The sequence below is a fragment of the Homo sapiens genome, chromosome 6, assembly GCF_000001405.40.
Source record: "Homo sapiens chromosome 6, GRCh38.p14 Primary Assembly".
NCBI lineage: Eukaryota > Metazoa > Chordata > Mammalia > Primates > Hominidae > Homo > Homo sapiens.
In genome coordinates this window covers 152,501,287-152,520,574 of record NC_000006.12, presented here as the reverse complement: position 1 = coordinate 152,520,574, position 19,288 = coordinate 152,501,287, and the positions used below count along the sequence as shown (strand labels likewise).

General features: G+C 35.9%; 1 protein-coding gene across 46 annotated transcripts in view; it reads left to right on the top strand.

Annotated features, from left to right (window-relative positions):
- Window positions 1-19,288, top strand: part of SYNE1 (spectrin repeat containing nuclear envelope protein 1) — a 515,676-nt gene that overhangs the window by 116,788 nt on the left and 379,600 nt on the right. For 37 of the 46 annotated variants that reach the window (XM_017010609.2, XM_047418503.1, XM_017010608.2 and 34 more), the window contains 6 exons: window positions 33-116; window positions 8,984-9,004; window positions 9,472-9,564; window positions 10,204-10,382; window positions 15,178-15,374; window positions 17,833-17,942. In XM_017010609.2, coding sequence (XP_016866098.1) covers window positions 33-116; window positions 8,984-9,004; window positions 9,472-9,564; window positions 10,204-10,382; window positions 15,178-15,374; window positions 17,833-17,942 — 684 coding nt within the window. The remainder of the gene's footprint in view (window positions 1-32; window positions 117-8,983; window positions 9,005-9,471; window positions 9,565-10,203; window positions 10,383-15,177; window positions 15,375-17,832; window positions 17,943-19,288) is intronic. The other 9 variants (XM_047418508.1, XM_017010610.2, XM_047418504.1 and 6 more) reach the window with 1 other exon arrangement.

Genomic DNA, 19,288 nt, shown 5'->3' with positions numbered 1-19,288 from the left:
TCTCATTCCCTTTTTTACCCCACTTTTTACAGCCTTGTGAACAAGGACGCCGGATGAAGCGAATCCATGCTGTGGCTAACATTGGCACGGCACTCAAGTTCCTCGAAGGAAGAAAGGTAAGAGAGAAACAAAAACAAAATGCCCAAGGAAGAAGGTGTGGGCATACTTATGTTTTCAGTATTGGCTCCTATCTGTAGTCAGATAGGAGGATGGCATGTAATCTATACAGCCTAGACATACAATATCATTGTATTATAAAATACTCTTAGATTTATGGAGAAGTTGCAAAAAAGAAATTTTATTTCTACAGTTCATTTCAGTGTCTAGTGTTAAGAGCTTACATAACCATAATACAATTATCAAAGTAAGGACATTAAAATTGGGATGATACTATTAACTAAAACATAGACATTAGTCCAAGTTCATCAATGTTCCCTCTATTGTCTGTGTCTGTTCCAGGACCCACTCTAGTATCACATCTTACATTTAGTTGTGTCTTCCATTCTATGACAGGTCTTCATTCTTTCCTTGTCTTTCATGACCTTGACACTTTTGATAACTGCTGGTCAGTTATTTTGCATAATGTCTCTCAATTTCAGTTTGTATGATATTTTCTCGTGATTAGGTTGAGTTTAGACATTTTTGGAAAAAGTCCCAAGAAAGTGATGTCATATTCTTCCCAGTGCACCATATTAGTAAATGTAGGGTGCTGATATGTCTTATTACTGGTTACATTAACTTTGAATACTTGGTAATGTGGTGTCTGCCATGCTTTCCTATGGTAGAGTCACTGTTTTTCCCTTTATAGTTGGGAAATAACTTAGGAGAGATAATTGAGACTATGCTAAGTTTCTGCTTTTCCTCAAACTTTTGCTCACTGATTTTAGTATCCATTGCCTTCAATAATTATTTCTGTGCTACTTGCCTAATGATTTTCTGTTTTCCTCATTCCTTCTATATTTATTAATTGGAATTGTTCTGTAAGAAAAAGATGTCCTCCCCCACAATTTACTTATTTATTCAATTATTTATTCCAGTAGGGACACATGTATATTTATTTTGTTACGTAGTTAAAATTCATCATTATACTCATTGTTATTATTTTGTCACTCAAATTGTTCTAGCTTTGACCGCTAAGAGCTCCTTCAGGCTTGCACCTGTACCTTTTTAATATTGGCTCATAATTTTTCAAGCAGATTTTTATTTGCTAGAACTACAGATATTCCAGGTTTTTCTTAAATTTTCCCTCCCCAGTCCTGGAATCAACCACTTCTCTAAAGAGGCTTCGTTCCTTTTAGTGATGAGTGGCATTTAGAAACCAAGATCTAAATGCTAAGTATTTCATTGCTACTGGGGCATCATTTCTCCTAGGCCCTCTCAGCAAATAGATTAGAAAATGTATATGTTTATTTATTTATTTTCTTTTTTTAAATTATTATTATACTTTAAGTTTTAGGGTACATGTGCACAACGTGCAGGTTTGTTACATATGTATACATGTGCCATGTTGGTGTGCTGCACCCATTAGCTTGTCATTTAGCATTAGGTATATCTCCTAATGCTATCCCTCCCCCCTCCCCCCACCCTACAACAGTCCCGGGTGGGTGATGTTCCCCTTCCTATGTCCATGTGCTCTCATTGTTCAATTGTATATGTTTATTAACTCATATATATACATATATCTGTGCTTCTCTCTCTCTCCTCTCTCTCTCTCTATCTCTGTATGTGTGTACATGTATATACACATATACATATGTAGCTTCTCGCACGTGTGGGTAAAACATTAGTTCAGACTAATACCTCTGATTCAAGTTAAACACTGCAAGTTTTACTCTGGCCTTATGTCCTTGTTTCTGCTTTCTCTGATAATGAGAAGGCTTACTCTCATCTACAATATATTTACTTATTTTTTCAACCCTAGTGTGTTAGTCCATTCTCACATGCTATAAAGAAATACCCAAGACTGAGTAATTTATAAAGAAATGAGGTTTAATTGGCTCATGGTTCTGCAGGCTGCTCAGGAAGCATAGCTCTGGCATCAGTTTCCGGAGAGGCCTCAGGAAGCTTACAATCATGGCGGAAGGAGAAGGGGAGCAGGGACGTCACATGGCCAGAGCAGGAGCAAGAGAGCAAGGGGCGAGGTGCTGCACACTTTTAAACAACCACGTCTTACGAGAACTCACTCACTATTGTGTGGAGGGTACCCAAGAGGGATGGTGCTAAACTATTGATAAGAACTCGCCCTCCTGTTCAATCGCTTCCCACCAGGGTTCACTTTCAACATTGGGGATCACATTTCAATATGAAATTTGAATGGGGACATGTATACAAACTATATCACCTAGTATACACATCTAGTATGTCACTAACCCATGCCCCTGTGAGAAACAGATTTACAAACTAGAGAACAGGATTTGTGTGTAGTTCTTTTTGTCTTTAGCATTACAGTATCCAGTCAAAAAACTATTTTTGAAATGTTCTTAGGTTAGTTCTATTCTTCCCCATCCCCGTCAGTGGGATTATGTCATTATCTGTTATAGAGATAGGTTCATTTGTTGTTGTTTGTGTTCTATTTTGTGCCCCACCCCCATCCTGGTCGATTTTATTTGTTTTAAAGAGTGGGACATTGTTATGGTTCTAAAATAATAAACGTTTTATTTAAAGAAGTCAAACTCCTTTCTCATCCCTACTACTCCATTCTCATTCCCTGCCTCTAACTGCATTTCCTACCTTTAGATAACCAGTCTCTCTAGTTTCTGACATACATTTTGCATTTTTTCCACAAATAAGATGTGTTTTCATATATCCCCGTCTTTCTTACATGAAGGATAGCATACCATAAATGCATTTTGCTTTTTTCACTTATCAATATGTCCTGGAAATCATCCCACATCAGTTCATAGTGATTTCTCTACTCATTTTTACAGTTACACAGTGTCCCATTGCCTAGATATGCCATAGTTTATTCAACCACTCTCTTATGAATGGGAATTGGGTTGTTTCTAGTATTTTTAAAACACAAACAATGATGCAGTTAATAACTATGTGCATAAGTGCTTCCATATAATTGGAGGTGTATCTCCTAGGTAAATTTCTAGAAGTGTGCTTGCTAAGTCAAAAGGTAAATGCACATGTAATTCTGGTAGATATTACCATATTTCCCTCCAAAAGGGTTGCACCAATCCTCTTACATTTAGCCTTTTCTAATTTGTGGGAATTGAGGAAGCCTGTGCTTAGTAATACCAAAACTAGTTTTATAAATGGAGATCCAGATACTCCTAGAAAATAGACCCATTCAGTTATTTCCTTCTCAGTTTATATGCACTGAATTAATTAGATTACAAATGCATAATTGATGACTTTCTATAAGACAGGAACTCTAGAAAATACAAATTTACAGAAAACTTAGATTCTAGCCCTTAAATAATCTACATTGTTGATAAGTTGGTAATGCAATGAATCAGTATACATTTCAGTCAATTGTGCAAATTTCATGCCCAAGAGAGATTCCAGGCATTAGGATAGTGTGCAAAACAATTTTAGCTTCTTATGCAATATCAGGCAGTGTTTCCAGATCACACTAATCTCTTTCTTATTGAAGGGTTTCTCTTCTTTCTGCTCACCCTTCATTAATTTTTCATTGAAAGCTGAATGAAGCCTTGTTAAACAGGATATTTAGAGTTTTTCAGGACCAGATGCAGTGGCTCACACCTCTAATCCCAGCACTTTGGGAGGGAAGGGTAGGTGAATGGCTTGAGCCCTGGAGTTTGAGATCAGCCTGGGCAACATGGTGAGACCTTGTCTCTAAACAAACAAACAAACAAACAAATTAGCCAGATGTGGTGGCATGCGCCTATGGTCCCAGCTACTCGAGAGGCTGAGGTGGGAGGATCTCTTGAGCCTGGGAGGTTGAGGCTACGGTGAGCTGTGATCACACTCCAGCCTGAGCGACAGAGCAAGACTCTTTCTCTTAAAAAAAATAAAAATAAAAAATAAAGATAGAGTTTTTCAGGTCATTCATTCTCCCATTTCAGCTGTATGACAACAGTGTCCTACTTCATTCTGAGTTATATTGATTGGCTGGAATACAAAAACAAAATTCCTCTTATTAACTTGGAAGCCTTGGCGAAAACTTTAACAACTTCACCTATGAAAGGCATTGTTTATAAAGAAGACTTGTTTTCACAATGTCCATTTTCACGGAACAACCCAAAGTAAAAAAAATAAAGTTTAAATATATTTGCTAAGCACCAAAAGTAGTGTCTTGAGAATCAGAACAAAATGAAAGAATTTCTCTTTTTTCCCCACAAGTCTCTTAATCTTTTTAAAGTCACCTCCTCCCCACATCTCCCTGAAACATTCTTGTCGGCCACACTCTCTTGCACTTCTGTATCCTATGGCCTCACAAAATGTTTGCCTGTGGGAAGTAATGAGTTTTGGAGGGTTCTTTAGTGCCCTCCCACTTATTATCTTAGCATTGATCTTTACAAGTTAAAACTTATGTCTCAATCATATTTTTAGAAATTTGTCTTTGATCTTTGTACTGACTTTGTCTTCCATTTGGATTTTTTTTCTTTTGATAACAGGACATTTATTTAATCCTTTTATTCTTATTTAGTTTGACTTAGGGAATAATGAAGGTATTCCTCATTTTACTGGGGAAACCCTAACAGTGTCCTTAGCTTTTCTCTTATTTGCAGGGCTATTGAAAAAACTTATGTAAGAATCTGATGAGAAATGTGTAAATGTGACTGTGGTGAACAGATTCATCACCATTTGCCACAAGTTTCTTTCTCCAATGAGGTGTCAGGCAGATCATTCAGCACAGTAATACAGAGAGCCAACCACTGACCATCATAGTGCAGACAGGGGACATAAATTCAGATTCCTGTGAGGTCCAGAAAGGTGATGTAAAGGAATGAGGTGAGTTCCAGGCTAACTGTGGTAACAGGAGAACTGAGTGGTCCTGCGTCCTGTCTGGAAGAGGGGAGCAAATAGTTCCAACTAAAGTAACCTCAGTGAACTGCAAGAACTGTGATCCCTGGTTTTCTAATTTACAAAGAAGAGCCAGTTGTCTGGACTTTTATTAAAATGTAATTAATGTTTAAAATTCCTTTAAATTGTGTATTAAATAAGGCAGGCAGTTGACTACTTGCATTATTGTTGAGAATGAGGTACCTGATACCTCATTGTAGAAAGCAACTAGTGGAAAGCAGTAATGGATTTATTCATTAAGTTTTCAAATTTATGAAGAAAAGCTAGTAACATGGATGTTTACTGAGAGTTTTTTGAAATTTATTTCCAAATAATTCAAATTTTTTACTTTTTTTCTTTTCTTTTCTTTTTTTTTTTTGAGACAGACTCTTGCTTTGTCACCCAGGCTGGAGTGCAGAGGCACAAACTAGGCTCACTGCAACCTCCACCTCTCAGGTTCAAGAGATTCTCCTGCCTCAGCCTCCCGAGTAGCTGGGACTACAGGCATGCGCCACCAAGCCTAGCTAATTTTTGTATTTTTAGTAGTGACAGAGTTTCACCACATTGGCCAGGCTGGTCTCGAACTCCCGACCTCAAGCTATCTGCCCGCCTTGGCCTCCCAAAATGCTGGGATTACAGGTGTGAGCCACCACGCCTGGTCTCAAATATTTTTTTAAACATCTGTGAGCTGTGCATTAGTCCGCTTTGGCTGCCATAGCAGAGTATCACAGACTGGGTGGCTTAAACTACAGAAATTTATTTTGTCAGCGTTTTGGAGGCAAGAAGTCCAGGATTAAGGTGCCTCAGGGTTGTTTTCTGGGGAAGCTTCTCTTCCTGGCTTGTAGACAGTTCCCTTCTCTTTGCGTCCTTGCATGACATTTTCTTTGTGTGAGTGTAGAGAGGAAGATCAATCTTTGGCGTCTCTTCATTTTTTTTTTTTTTGGTATTCATTGTTTTTTTTTATTATTTTTTTAAATTATACTTTAAGTTCTGGGATACATGTGCAGAACGTGCAGGTTTGCTACATAGGTATACACATGCCATGGTGGTTTGCTGCACCCACCAACCCATCATCTACATTAGGTATTTCCTAATGCTATCCCTCCCCTAGTCCCCTACCCCGTGACAGGCACTGGTGTGTGATGTTCCCCTCCCTGTGTCCATATGTTCTCATTGTTCAACTCCCACTTATGAGTGAGAACATGCAGAGCTTGGTTTTCTGTTCTTGTGTTATTTTGCTGAGAATGATGGTTTCCAGCTTCATCCATGTCCCTGCAAAGAACATGAACTCATCCTTTTTTATGGCTGCATAGTATTCCATGGTGTATTTGTGCCACATTTTCCTTATCCAGTCTATCACTGTTGGGCATTTGGATTGGTTCCAAGTCTTTGCTATTGTGAATAGTGCTGCAGTAAACATACATGTGCATGTGCCCTTATAGTAGAATGATTTATAATCCTTTGGGTATATACCCAGTAATGGGGTTGCTGGGTCAAATGGTATTTCTGGTTCTAGATCTTTGAGGAATCACCACACTGTCTTCCACAATGGTTGAACTAATTTACACTCCCACCAACAGTGTAAATGCGTTCCTACTTCTCCACATCCTCTCCAGCATCAGTTGTTTCCTGACTTTTTAATAATCGCCATTCTAACTGGTGTGACATGGTATCTCGTTGTGGTTTTTATTTGCATTTCTCTAATGACCAGTGATGATGAGCTTTTTTTCATGTTTGTTGGCCTCATAAATGTCTTCTTTTGAGAAGTGTCTGCTCATATCCTTTGCCCACTTTTTGATGGAGTTGTTTGTTTTTTTCTTGTAAATTTGTTTAAGTTCCTTGTAGATTCTGGATATTAGCCCTCTGTCAGATGGATAGATTGCAAAAATTTTCTCCCATTCTGTAGGTTGCCTGTTCACTCTGATGATAGTTTTTCTTCATCTTTTTTAAGAACACTAATCTCACTGGGCCCAGCGTGGTGGCTCACTCCTGTAATACCAGCACTTTGGGAGGCCAAGGTGGCCAGATTGCTTGATGTCAGGAGTTCGAGACCAGCCTGGCCAACATGGCAAAACTTCATCTCTACTAAAAATGCAAAAATTAGCCGGGTGTGGTGGCGCATGCCTGTAATCCCAGTTGAGGCAGGAGAATCGCTTGAACCTGGGAGGTGGAGGTTGCAGTGAGCCAAGATCGTGCCACTGCATTCCCTCCTAGGCAACAGAGTGAGACTAATCTAAAAAAGAAAAATCTGATTAGATTAGGGCCCCATGCTTATGAACTCATTTAACTTCAATTATCTCTTTAAAGACTCATTCTCCAAATACAATCACATTGGGAGTTACATTTCAAAATATGAATTTTGGAGGGACACAAATAATAATTCATTCCATTCAAGCCTCTGTCTTATAACTCAGACTTCTCCAGATTACATGGGCCAGGTACAATGGTCTAGTCCAGGATTCTCAAGCACTAATGTGCATCAGAATCACCTGAAGGTTTTAAGACACTTTCCAGAGGCTCACTTCCTTAGTTTCTGGTTTAATGGGTCCAAGGTGAAGTCTCAGATTCTATATCTCTAACAAGTTTCCAGGTGACGTGCTTGCTGCGACTCTGGGAATCACCCTTTGAGAACATCTGGCTCAACATCCTTCTGCTCTGGTTTTATCTGTCAATATGGTCCCATCTTCCTTCTGGCTTCTGGAAATTCTTCATTCTCTTTGGATGTGTCTCTATTGCCCATCCTACCCTCCTAGGCTACTAAGAATGTATTGTAAGTTCAATAGGATTTTGCAAGAGATGGGAGGTTAAATAAACAGACAAACCAACCTGTGCTCCCTAAACTCATTGTGAAACACATTTTGGGGCAGATAATCATGAAAAACATTTTTCTTCACAAGTTAGGCAAAAGATCCTTTAGCTTCTGTAATAAATTGAATATGTTAACAATGTACAATTTCAAGTACAATTGGAACTGGGTCGAGGTAGGATAATCAAATTATATTCAATAGCACTTTTTAAAAAATGATGCACAAGGAAAAGGAAGAAATTTTCCCCTGTGAAATTCATTAATCTTATGGATATTAGCATATATTATAAATTTTTTGTGTATGTATGCTAAAATGGATGTGGAGAAAATTCTAGAGAAGTTGTAAAATGAAGCTCTCAAAATGATCCTAGAGATCATAGTAGATTCTTTCATAAAAAGTTAAAAAAATTGATGTTCTTTATTTTCCATAAAGATATCTTAAACGTCTTATACTGATTGATTCAAAGGAAGTAGATATACAAGTTTGTAATCTATACCAGTTCTCAATTTTTATTTTTTGTCATTGAACCTGATGAATGAACTTCACCAGTGAGACAAAAATCCCATAGGTATATCTCAAATCATTTACAATGATTTTTGTGCTAGCTTTTACTCCACCTCTGTGATGTAAAACTAGTAAATTTAAACTTTCAAGAGTAAAGTATTTGTGAAATGATTTTGCATCTGACACAAATTTAAATAAAAAAAATGTACAAACATCTGAGCTTTTTATTAATAACACACTTCATGAAATCTTGGCTGAGAATTATTGAGCTAGAGGTCTGAAGGGTACTTTATTATTATTTGTTTTCATTTGTTAGGAATTATTAAAAGGATGTTTTTGATGGTAGGCTATAGAAATTGAATGAGATAGACTTAACCATGTAAGTCCATTTTGTTGGGACTTAGCAAACAACTTTGTAGTGGATGAAAAACATTAGCATGAATAATTTGGGTCAATTGTACATAGATTGACGTCTCTCCTTAATGCTTTATATGTCATCACCCAAAAGTAGGGAACTGAATGCTAATAGGCTCTGTTTTGCTATTTCTTGCCTTTCCTTTGTTTTTCTTTAAAACGTATTACCACAGTCAGGTTCTAAACTGACTACCTACCTCTTTATTCCCTTTGAACAAATAATGCTGATTTTGAAAGATGATTTATGTATATCTATTATCTTCTCCCTTTGTTTTTCATGTCAGTCCATGCACAGAGGATCACCGGTTAGTACAAATTTTAGAATTCTTAACTCCTGATTTTTATAGGTAAAAGGGAACATAAGTTACCTGCTATTTGGTAACAAACTTCAAAGTAAGTGCATCTTCTTAAACTTCTCATTGCAGTTTCTTTTAAGCTCCAGTCAACCTCTAAATATAAATAATAACATTTTTTTTCTGTTTGACATTTTTGTTGGTAATTGCCTGCATGTTATATTTTTTCAACTTTAAACAAAAGAAGTTTCTGAAATCCATTTTATAGTTTTTACTTTGTACACCTAACAAATCCCCCTGAAATTTTCACTGAAACCTTGTGCTTGTTTGTTTCGGTGCCTCACTCTACTTACTCCCATGTACTATTACATAGGCATGATCAAATCTTATTGATGTCTACTAAAGGCCTAATTGTTACATAATTAAATGAGTTATAATATTCTAGTACATTACTAGTACAGTTTCTCTTTTTTAAACAGATTAAATTAGTCAACATTAACTCCACCGATATAGCTGATGGCCGACCCTCAATAGTTCTTGGATTGATGTGGACCATTATTCTATATTTCCAGGTATTGTGCTACAGTTCCTCTTTCAGTTGATGCAATGTCTCAGAGGGAGATCATGGTGGCCATTTTAATAATGCTCTCATTTGCCATATCTTTGGGGTTGATCCTTAACTTAGCAGAAATGTACCTTTCACACATACGTTGTTTCTTTGGTAGGAGAATTTCCTCTTCTCCCTTGCAAAGCTGTTGCATGTGGAACCTCACACCCCGAAGAACTCCAGCAGAGGTGCCCAATCTGAAAAGCGAGCACCTCAAGATGGAGATGAAATATTGTTGCAGAAGGAGCTCAGGAAAATTTTCTTTTTTCTTTGGAAAGGAGCACTTCTAAACTCCTTTTAGACATGAAGGGGAGGAATGAACTTGCCATTCTATTCAGAATAATTGTTCTAACCATTAGGTTTTAGTTGATTAATTCATTCATGTATTCTACAAATATGGATTATTGTATGTAAGATACACTAGGGGTGCAATGGGAAGTACAAAGAGGAGTAAGATATCAATCATGCCCTTTAAGAGCTTGCATTTTGTCAGGAATGTCAAGAGTGTTAACATAACTCATTTGTTGCTGGAAAAGTAAAACATCTGAGGAAATAATAACAAAGATAATGCTTATATTTTTGCTGGCTGTTAACTCACAAACAGATTGAAGAGTTGACCAGCAACCTGCCCCAGCTCCAGTCTTTGTCCAGCAGCGCATCCTCCGTGGACAGCATAGTTAGCTCTGAGACTCCCAGCCCACCAAGTAAACGGAAGGTGACCACCAAGATCCAAGGAAATGCTAAGAAGGCTTTATTAAAGTGGGTTCAGTACACAGCTGGCAAGTAAGTATCAAGAGTTTGTCTAAATTTGAAACCGTTAAATTGAGTTATGAATGTTACTAATTGCAACTTCTAATGATTGCGAAATGTGAAGAGACATTTGAATGAATGGCTTTGCTTTAGCGCTTATTTCACTCTTGCCTTGAATTGAGATATAAACACAAATCACCACTAATACTCTAGGAAAATGCTCTTAAAAAATTAATTTTTTCTTTATTCATGCAATTGGGCCTAATTAATTAAACTGACTAATCCTAAACTTTGAGTAGCATGAGGGATAATTCTATTTAGGTCATTGTTTAGAGTTTCTGCTCCTATTAAATAATCTTTATATAAATAAACTTGAAGTTTAAACTCGGTTATCTCTTCATGAGACTATTATGTTCTATTTAAGAACTGTGTGAACTAAGGTACACATTCCAAAAACATTTTTTTTTTATGTTCTGAAACTTTCTAGCAATTTTAGTTTTTAAATTTTTTCCCTTTGGTCTCATTTTTTATCTAGAGTGTAGATTTTTTTGTCAACTCTAGCTTTGTGAGCTGAGAATTTGCATCTAGTTTTCAGTTTTCCTCTAGGCATAATAAATTTACATGTGTATACATTTATATGATAATAGTGGATAGAAAATGACTGCTCTCAGCCAGACGCAGTGACTCATGCCTATAATCCCAGCTCTTCGGTAGGCTGAGGTGGGCATATCACCTGAGGTCAGGAGATCGAGACCAGCCTGGCCAATCTGGTGAAACCCCATCTCTACTAAAAGTACAAAAATTAGCTGGGCGTGGTGGCGCGTGCCTGTAATCCCAGCTACTCGGGAGGCTGAGGCACCAGAATCGCTTGAACCTGGGAGGTGGAGGTTGCAGTGAGCTGAGATCAAGATTGTGCCATTGCACTCCAGTCTGAGCGACAGAGCTAGACTCCATCTCAAAAAAAAAAAAAAAAAAAAGAAAAAGAAAAAAGAAAAAGAGTGCTCTCAAAAAGTACTTTCTCATAGCAATTTCAATGGAGTTTTCAGTTGATTATATAAGTATTTTGTAGTCTGATGTGATCAGGGGTAAGTCCTTTCATGTAGAGTATGCTTTTGTTTGATTTTCCTAAACAACATGTAAAATTACTCATTTTTTATCTTGTTTTGCATGCTTAAATGTAATCTAAATTTGATTCTCTACTTCTGGAAAATAGTTGTAAACAAGTACTTATAAAATATTGAGGTACTAAACATAGGGAGTTCTATTTTTAAGGTGTTTGAAGAGCAAAAATAAAAAAATAAAAAGAGAAACAAAGGATGTAATTAGTGTTGCTAGTTTATGTTGTTTTGTTTAACTTTTAAAGTGTGTTGCTGGTTTTCTAATTTGGGCTATGTTTTCATGATTCAAGTTGTAGTCAAATATATTTCTGAAAACAAAGCTTTGTGGCTCTTTAGAATCTGAAGTAGAAATGAAATAAAAAACCCTTCCCACATTGCTGGAACACTGTTTAATTGCATCCACAGTGGCATTACTAATCTCTCTTACAACTTAACTGGGCAGGGAGAAGACTGGTGACTGCACACTGATGTGTCACGATGCTATTGCAATTAAACTTTGTAATAATGTCAAGGTGATATTCTGTGGTCCATTGCTTCACACGACATTAAATTAACCAAAAACAAATTGATTTTCTTTTAATAAAACAGTAGCTTGAAGTAAACTCAAATTTAATGCTGTTGGAGTTATCCAGCATTTAATTTAGTTTCATGCATGCTATGTTGGGTTTCAAAGATGTGCAAGAGTCTGGTGACAGCTCAAAGTCATTGCTACAACTTATATGTTGGTAACATCAGTGGAAGTTTTACTTTCCTTATCTGGGCCAATGTCCAGAATCCTGGGCCTGAGGGTTCTCCACCCGTGAGCAAGCAATAAAATCCATTTCTTTTGTAGCTGCATAAATTGTAGAGGTTTGGGGCGATGACTTTTCTCTGCCATAAAAATTCTGTAATGAACACATGATTCCATGATGCTACCAAACTGTTGATAATTTTTTCTAAAAACTGCTTTTTACACTATCCCAGTATGTACTTTTCAAGCAACTTATTATCTAACATGTGTAAAAGACTTTAGAATCTGTATCCATTTTGAGGTATGAGTGATGTTATTCCTAAAATCATAATATTTCGTGGGACTCTAGTTTGGAAGTTCATCACACTCATAAGATTGAAGATGGTGGGAAATGATAAAACATCCAGTAAACACTAGACTAGTTATCAGGATGTATCCACTGTTTTCGTATAAAGTTTAAAAATATTTGAGAAATAAATTTAAAAATGATTTCAGTAACATAAGATAGTTAAGCCCTCTAATTGCTAAAACTAATTTCATCCACTATCAATACATATTATCAGAAATAAAAGCTTTAAGTTATAGCATATCTTACATTTGCATAACTATTGTCACATTTATAAGAAGAACAATTATATTTTCTGACAAAAATTAGTAAGGTAACAAAATAAATAAATATATGCATATATGTAGTTATTTAAAAGCAGCTTGAAGTAAATACATATTAGAGGTCAGAAATGCTTATAAATTGGGCACTGTTCATCACTTCTTTAAATGCTGTGTCTTTCTTTTGGTTCATATCTAAAATTCTCAAATAAGAGGTTTGAACTAAAACTAAAACTTTTAAGGAATATTACCTACTACTTTAACTGTTACAATAGGAAACAGTGTGTGTGTATGTGTGTGTGTGCATACCTACATATATTTTTTCAACAAATATAGAAGAAATAAAATGTGCTGAAACTTTTTAATTATTTCATTACAGTAAATATTTAGAAAAGCATATTATGTATTTCTCTTTGAAAATGTCTAAAACAATACATAAGTTCAAGAAAATTAGAAATAGCTAATTACATGGTGAATATTTATTAGCTAATTATTTATTTACACCCCACTTAATTTTGTTAAAAACTAATTTGAGGTGGCTTAACAAGATAAAAAACATTTTTAAATGAGGAAATGTGGACAAAGAAAAATAAAATGAAGTCAGAGTTGGATTACAAATGAGTAGATAGAAAGGACATACTGTTCAACCTGCATGACTGTCAGCTGTCTGCTGAAAAAAATTATATCTGTACTACCAGAGACAAGCTTGAAAATTAGAGAAGATTCAAGATTACTTTACAATTTCTGGAGTCTCATAAAATTGTTTTTAGGATATTTATTGATGAAGCCAATGATCAAGCTCAATGATGCATAATATATTTTATGCAAACAGTGTACATTGGTAAAACATGTTTTAAAGTGAATGATAAGTTGTCTACAATAAAATTTAAGGATAGGCTGTGCACAATGGCTCACACCTGTAATCCCAGCACTTTGGGGGGCCGAGGCAGGTGGATCACTTGAGGCCAGGAATTTGAGACCAGCCTGGCCAACATGATGAATAATACAAAATGTTTGTATTCTTATTGATTTTTTGTATTTTTTGTATTCAATAATACAAAAATTAGCCAGGTATTGTGGCACATGCCTGAAATCCCAGCTACTTGGGAGGCTGAGGTGCAAGAATCCCTTGAGCCTGGGGGGTGGAGGTTGCAGTGAGCCGAGACTGTGCCACTGCACTCCAGCCTGGGCAACAGAATGAGTGAGATTCTGTCTTAATAATAATAATAATGATAATAATAATAATAATGGACACTTACAAACTTATTATATTAATCAGCATACCATTCAGGTTGTATTTTTTCATGAAAATTTTGAGATTCTAGTAAAAATTAATTGAGCAATATTTTTGCTTTAGTTAGAGACATCTCTAAGGTTAATGAGACTAACTTTTTAAAAAGAAGCTACTAGATGACTTTATCCATTGAATGTTCCCTAGTTAAGTGATCATATTTGCAGGCCCTCCACTTATTCAAGGGGTGCAGCCGATGCTCAAAATCATCTTTACAACTCTGTTTTCGGAACTGCCTTTATAATTGATAAGTTACATGTAGGAAAAAAAATCATTCATTGTGAGCTTGCCTCGCTTCTCTTTTCCAAGGGCAAAATATGGCTACCAACTTGATTCAGTTTCTTAATAACTGGCTTTGAGTTAATCAAATCCGCCATCAAAGAAAAAAGATTTACCACCACGGCTTTGCCCTCAAGACAATTACCAAAAAGGAGCTTAAAAACAATTTTATTGGTGGAGTAATTGGAATTATTGTTTGCATTTAGGTGGAATACAGGGTCCTTTGTGAACACTTTGAGATATAATTGCAATATTTGCATTTGTCTATTCTACTGCATTTGAAAGTATTCAGCCACATTATCTTAGTCTGTGATAACCTGTGTACAACACAGTGCTGCTTCCCATTAGAAACGTGTTAGCTCTTTCTACAAAAATTTACAGTGGTTAATTACTGTCACTTTTGGCATCTTTATAATTTGGTTTCTTAAAATTTTTTCAGACATTTTTCTCTAAATTGATTTTTCTTTATAAAATAAATGTAAACATCCTTCAATAGCTCAGCTGGTAGAGCGGAGGACTGTAGGGGATTGAGTATAAAATAAATGTAAAAATACGCTTTAACTTAACTATCTTAATTGCTGAAAAATCCAACATAGAAATCTCTAAATATAGAACCAGAATTTCGACATCTTATCTTGTTGCCCCCTAAAAATTTTGTTTCCCTTAATTTTTCTCAAATACAATGAACTGATACAGCTCTCTGCATATCGTTGGTGAAAAGCACTGGATTTTGCATGAGGCCTTGAAGAAAGTGCTTGTATCTATTCAGAATGTGACATCATTTTATGTTTTTATAACACAAAGGCAGACTGGAATAGAAGTAAAAGATTTTGGGAAGAGTTGGAGAAGCGGGGTTGCCTTTCATTCAGTTATTCATGCCATTCGACCGGAATTGGTGGACTTGGAGACAGTGAAAGGCAGATCCAACCGAGAAAATTTGGAGGATGCTTTCACTATCGCCGAAACAGAACTGGGGATCCCAAGACTGCTAGATCCTGAAGGTAGGCTGAATATTCATTGACTGTTATATACCTTAACACGGAGGGTTTTTATGTCTTAAACCCAGAAATACACATGACTTCCAAGATTCTATTGGAGGCCAGAAAGCTGGAGAAAAGTGGCAAGTAATGGTATTTTCCTGCATCAATTTTCTTCTGGATAAATATCTACCACCATGGTTGGGGTAAAATATGATCCCATTGCTCCAAACAGCACTTTGGCATTGGTATGTCAGTCGGGTGAACTGGACTTAATATACTTAAGGGTGGAATGAAAGTTTTAGAAGTGTGTGTATGAGGGGTAGGTGACAGGATAATATAATTACTCTATATAATCTCAGAGGTCTGAAAGATGTAGATTATTCATACTTAGAAATGTTGTTAACCATGCAGTGTTTTGGTGTCAATCAGCAAACTTCACAAATGTTTGACTAATATTTGTCATTTCAATTGTTTGGCACGTTTTTTGGTAAGGGCGTGAGTGCTAAGACTTTTTGGAAATGGAGTGAACTCTTTCAAGCCTTCAAAAGACAATTTAGATGCCTTTGATAAACTTTTATAAACTAATAAGTTGTTATGTTGAAACAAAAGTATCAAAGTGAAGTTTCCAAATGTCACAGATAATTTCTTATTTGGGCTGGCAATTATGGACATTTCTACCAGTGAATGCAGAAATGTAAATATACAGTGAAAGCAAATTATTTTTCCCCTCTCCTCCCTACCCTTCCTGGCCTCTGGTAACCACCAATCTACTCTCTGTTTTCATGGGATCCACCAAAAATTATTTTTAAAGATGGAATTTCAGACTGAACTTCCCTAGCTCTAAAACAAAGAGGATAGACTTGTGTTTCCAAGAGTAAGTTACAGAGACCCAGTTAGGTTTCCTCTGAGATGAAGGGCCCCATGGAGATTCCTTGCCATTTTAGGATTCTGTTTTTGAGTCCCACTCTGCCCCCACCCCACTTTCACTAGGATATCAAAGGGCTTTCTGCCTTCTTTCTGCACAAAAATAAATCAAGGGAAAAACACATATTCCAGCCATCGACTTCAGAGGATGTATCAGAGCTGACATTATTCCTAGAGTGGGATGAAAGGAGAATATGCATGATTCTTTCATATCCACCAGACCAGAAGATCTTAATATTTTCTTTGATGATTAGAAACTGAGGTTGCCTAAATACAAGGCTATCCTAGATATAAGACATTCCTCTAATTTCTTAATGAGAACTTCCCCTTCAAAAAGTTATTTAGCCAACTTGGATGTATAAGCTTTTAGGAATACAGATTAGGTAGACCAAAAGCTATTATAATAATTATTTTATGATTTACATATATAGTTAACAGCATATACTATGTTAAATCATGTATTAAATATTGCTTTTCTTTCCACTTTCATATTTCCTGAAAAAAAAGTTTTACTCAACGGTTTGACTCATCACCTTTGAGTCATTTAACAAATTTCAGAATACATTATCTTCGCTTCCTTTTAAATAGTGTGAGTTGCAGCACTCTTTAAACCCTATATTGCAAGTCTCTAGAAATTATACCTCTAATCAAAAAGAACTTTTACGAAAGATTAGATTAGTTTTATACTTCATTGTGGCAATTTGGTTTGCTTTCTGCTCTATAAATTGCTCTGTAAGATATAATCATTTCTATTGCCTTTAAAATTGATATTTAAAAGACTTGTTTACAACACGTTTTACTTATGCATTCTTACCTCCATGTATAATTACTAAATCTGTATGAATTTATTTGCCTGATTTTTACCATTTGTATTAGATAAATATCTATAAGCTTCAAAATCACAGTGATTGAGGGCTTCTCAGGCCCTCGAAGAGTTTCCCTCGAAGAGTGCTTGATTGCTCAAAGCACTGTAATTTGGAGAGAATGCTCCACAAAGAGGAGGCTGCCCAGGAAATTGAATATAAGGCATCTGCCTTTCTTCTAAAGTGAAATTTGTGGGGGCAGAGAGGGGGCTTGTCTATATTTGGCCATATATAGTGTGTGTATATATATATATATGTCATTCAGTGTCACACTTGTAAGCATTTTTGTACTTCCTATTTATGCCAGTTCTAAAATTTACATATTATTTGTGTTCTATTCACTAGTATGAATAGAACTAGTATGAGATACTGTATGAGGAATCATACCGTATCTCACCCATTTGGGAGATACTGTCTCATGAGATACTGTATGTCTTATTTAAATGACACATATGCTACTTTCTTAAACGCTGTTTGTTTAAATGTGTCATCTTTCTGAGTAATATAATTTTCATCATGTAATATCCAGACTAAATTTGGTTTACCCTCCTCCCCGTCCAAAATTCTAAATAGTACTTCTGTTTTCCTTCTGCGTTTAGCGTTTTTGGTGTGATAGCTAGATACCAAACTTGTATTATCAAAATCCAATGAATGCTAATTAGTTTATTCACATTTCTTTTTTGTTTTTTCAGACGTTGATGTGGATAAACCAGATGAGAAATCTATTATGACCTATGTAGCCCAGTTTCTGAAACATTATCCTGACATCCACAATGCAAGCACTGATGGGCAAGAGGATGATGTAGGTATTTGCTTTCTTCAAGTATCACTGGTATATGCAATGACAGTGACTCAGCTTTTTGAGTATACTGTTCTCAAAAAATTAAATTTGAATGCATTTTAATATGAGACCAACTGATTTTAAAAAGCTATCACCAAATGGGGTGATGATTAGAGGAAAGGGTTTTTCTGGTTTGTATGTTGGATATATTAGAGAAAGCATTGCTAATAACAAATGTAAGGTATGTGATGCTGGTACACTAAAACTGAGAAAAGATAGCAGTGTTGGGAACTCCATCTTAGTGATCTGAGAATTGAAGTAATTGTATTTCTGTCATAGCATTTGCACATCTAGATCTTTAATCCCCTCGCTCTGGTTGATCTGATCAAATCTAATTTTGACTTTTGGATTTTATTACATCTATTGACAGCAAACATATGGAAGTAAGACGCAATTTGTAAAAGTTCTAATTATTCACTGTCATTAGATTTTTCAGCCTTTAAATAATTTAAATAACATTAACATTTTTCATGCTGCTCAAATTACATATGTTAATTGTCATAAATTTTTTAAATCAAGAAAAAAAGGAAAAGGAAAAAATTTTCTGTATTTGACCTTCTAGAGAGAACCTATACTAGAGAAAAATTAATATGTTGATGTTAATTCCCAACATTTGTATTATATATGGCAGATACATACAATATTTTAATAAAAATAGAATTATGGTATCCATACAATTTTATAATTTTCTTCTTCCATGAACATTATAAAGAATTCTGCAGGTCAACTTATGTATGTACATTAATTTATTACTCAATCTTGTTTTAATTTATAATTTTTGTTGTTATAAGCAATGCTTTTATGAACAATCTTGTAATAAAACATTGTTCCGAGATTCTTTCCTTTTTTTTTTTTTTGTGAGATGGAGTCTTGCTCTTTCGCCCAGGCTGGAGTGCAGTAGCACAATCTTGGCTCACTGCAACCTCTGCCAGCCGGGTTCAAACAATTCTCCTGCCTCAGCCTCCTAAGTAGCTGTGATTTCAGTTGCACATCACCATGCCCAGCTATTGTTTTCTGTTTCTAGTAGAGATTGGGTTTCACATGTTGGCCAGGCTAGTCTCAGACTCCTGACCTCAAGTGATCTGCCTGCCTCTGCCTCCCAAAGTGCTGGGATCACAGGCATGAGCCACCACGCCTGGCCAAGATTCTTCTTTAGAAGTGGAATTCCTAGGCTAAAGGGCATACAAAATTTTAATGCTTTTAAAAATGTTTTTCGTGTTGCCTTGTAGAAAGTTTGTCCTATTTCACACTCCAACCAGAAAGTTTGTCCTATTTCACACTCCAAGACACCAGACTGCCTGTTTTCC